This window comes from Homo sapiens, chromosome 10 (assembly GCF_000001405.40).
Source record: "Homo sapiens chromosome 10, GRCh38.p14 Primary Assembly".
NCBI classification, from domain to species: domain Eukaryota; kingdom Metazoa; phylum Chordata; class Mammalia; order Primates; family Hominidae; genus Homo; species Homo sapiens.
The window spans coordinates 36,111,069-36,114,121 of NC_000010.11; the positions used below are offsets into that span (position 1 = coordinate 36,111,069).

The window sequence follows — 3,053 nt, forward strand, 5'->3', positions numbered from 1 at the left end:
AAGAGAGCCAAGGTGCCTAGAGACTCTGGCTTTATAACTGGAAATATTTATAGGTAACTGTACTCCCCAAAAGGATCTATATAATAATCATTTCTGGTAAAAAAGGAGAGAAAGAAATAATTCCCCCTGTGTAAGCTCTTGTAAAATACCTCTAAAATCTTTATGTTATCTCTGCCCTTGCGAGTATAGAAATAGCCCATTTTAATTCATTTAAAAATAATTTAATATTAATTAATGGAGTTTTGGTCTCTTTTAAAGGTACTAATTTTCTTCAAGAAAGGTGATTTTAAAATATCTATTTTATACAATATATCTTTTACAAAAACCTGGGTAATGCTATCTATTAATAGAAACATCTATCAATATACGTTAATAAAATTATTATAAAATAAAAGTAGGTGGTTAATACTTATAAAATTACAGATTAGCTAATTTTCTTAGTTTTCATCAGCTAGAAAATAAATTCTATAGTTTTAACATTTAATTAAATATAGAAAATTACGTTTTAGTCATCTTATTTGTTTCATCTACAAATGTTCCCCATCCTACCTCCAATATATATGCCTTTTTCTTACAATTTGGTTTTAGTTTTAAATCTTAGTAATTGATGCCTGTAGCTAGTTTTTTAAAGACCCCAATCTGTTTCCCTTTCTCTGCCTGTCTGTGTGGTACTGTGACACTTGTCTACTATTCCCCTACTGTGAAACCAACATATCTTTCCCCAGACTCGCAGAAAAAATAGCATGAGCTCCTGACCACTCTGGGATGATAACGGCAGTGCTGTGCTGTTGGCATGCTGAGGTGATGGTAGCAGGGAGTCACCTTACTCACTTGGGGTAGCAGCCATTCCATCTCAGCTTAACAGGGAGAACAGCAGTGAGTCTCACTGATTAGAAACCTGCTAACATATGCATCACCCTTGGTTTCCTTTCCTTTAGGATAATCCTCATTGTGGATATATTTAGCCTTATTGTGTTGCCTTAAAATTGCTACTAAGACCTTTGATATGGTATTGAGCTACAAATGATAAATGACTAAATATTTCCAAAAAGAAACTTGGCTGCCTTTTCTGCACCACTGCTACAAGATTTTCCTTCCAACATATTAAGAGCACAGAGTGCAATTGGATTGAGCTCTCACCCTTAACCTTTTCTGCATTGGCTCCACAATATTATGAGTTTGCGTCTTTTCCTTTCCTCTCTCTTTTCTCCCGGTCTTTCCTTCCCCAAAAATAAGCATGGATTTTCATCTCAGTCCATAATCTCCTTAACATTGTGTCTAGGTAACTAAGGTCATGTCTATTATTACCCCCAAATTTTAAATACAGTGCAAACTTGAAGACAATATTCATTCAGTCATTCAATTGAACAGTTTGTTGAGTGCCTACTATATGCCAGTCACAGTTTCAGGCATTAATGTAACAACAGGGAATAAGAAAAACGTCCTGCCCTGATGGAGTTAAGAGTCACTGGAGAGGCCAACACTGGAGTACTCTTAATGAACAGCTGTCCATTTCTATTGGCTCACAAAATCCAATCCATCTACTAGATTCCAATCACTCAGATACTTTCTGTTGTTTTTAATTTCTTCCTGCATTTTTGTGTTGCTACCTGAGATCATTTTCCTTCTGCCATGTCAAATCCATCATACAGCATGGTGACCATAGTTCGTGACGATATATTGTATTCTTGAAAAATGCCGAGAAAGTGGATGTTAAGTGTTGTTGCCAAAAAATGATAACTACGTGAGGCAATGCATTTGTTAATTAGCTAAATTTAACCATGCCACAATGTATATGTACTTCAAAACATCATGTTGTATACAATAAATACATGCAATTTTATATGTCGATTTTAAAAATAAATAAATTTGGAAAAAAAGAATTTCTTTTTTGTGTATTCTTGTCTGCTGGCAACAAATTGTCTCAGTTTTTGTATGGATGGTAATACCTATTTCTCTTTCACTTTTGAGGAATATTTTCTCTAGGTATAGAATTATAGGTTGGCTGTTTTTTTCTTTCAGCACTTTAAAGATGTCACCCCTTGTCTTCTTGATTTCATCATTTCTATTAAGACATCAGCTGTAAATCTTCATTGCTTCTTTAGATAATGTTTTTCTTTAGACTTTTTTAATATTTTCTTTTGTCCCTAGTTTCAGAAGAATTTCTATAATTCGACTAGAGGTGTGGGCATGTGTGTGTGTGTGCACATACGTATGTGTGTTTTATCCTCCTGATGATCTGCAGTTTTTCTAAGATTTGCATCTTGATTTGATTTTTTGGCCATATTTTGAAAACCACTATCTTGTCCAATATTTTCTCTGCCTTGTTCTCTCTCCATTCTTCTGAGACTTGAATTATATATAAGTTGCAATTTTTCTCCATGTCTCATATACACATATTGTATATCTCATACACATATGTATATGTATACTTCTATAATCTGTACATATATCCATGCATATTTTTCCTGTATTACTTTATCCCTTTATTTTGGTTTCTATGCTTCAGCCTGTATTTTTCTCCTGAATAGCTCTCTAATTCTTTTGTTGTATCAATCTGCTGTTAAACTTGTCTATCAAGTCTAAATTTCAGTGTGTCACATTTTCAACTCTAGAACTTTTATTTCATTCTTTTTAATAGATACCAATTCTCTAGTAAAATGTTCTATTATGTCATCTACTTCTGGAAAAATATTAAATACAGCTGTTTTAAAGCCCATCTCTAATCACTTCAATAACTTGGTTAAATCGAGGGTTTGTTTCTACTGCTTTTCCTTGGTCACAGTTCATGGCATGCCTAGTAAATTTTTATTGAATGACAGACATTTTGCAGACTCTGGATGATATATTTTTTTCAAGAGCATTTACCCTGGCCTGTATTAGAAACAGTGTTGCATCAGATGATATGAATCTGATCAGGGAGTGCAACTCAATGCTGGTTGCAATTACTGTATGGCTGTCTACCTCTGGTTGTCCCATACTCCTAGGGTGTAGACTTCTAGGATTCCCACTGAGATCCTGAAGTATTTGCTAGAATCCCTCTTCACTGATAT

The 3,053-nt window shown here is 34.2% G+C and overlaps 2 annotated features.

The window, feature by feature from the left end:
• Nucleotides 1,460-1,629: an enhancer, noted in NCBI's record as "experimental_12178 CRE fragment used in MPRA reporter constructs". NCBI's record gives its function as "activates a minimal promoter by MPRAs in K562 erythroleukemia cells, with activity observed for the non-introgressed 10:36401541 or rs17611429 variant allele {active_cell/tissue: K562}" and the evidence as "EXISTENCE:reporter gene assay evidence [ECO:0000049][PMID:34662402]".
• Nucleotide 1,545: a transcriptional cis regulatory region, noted in NCBI's record as "Neanderthal adaptively introgressed variant 10:36401541 (GRCh37/hg19 assembly coordinates) or rs17611429 in the experimental_12178 CRE". NCBI's record gives its function as "modulates activity of the experimental_12178 enhancer by MPRAs in K562 erythroleukemia cells {active_cell/tissue: K562}" and the evidence as "EXISTENCE:reporter gene assay evidence [ECO:0000049][PMID:34662402]".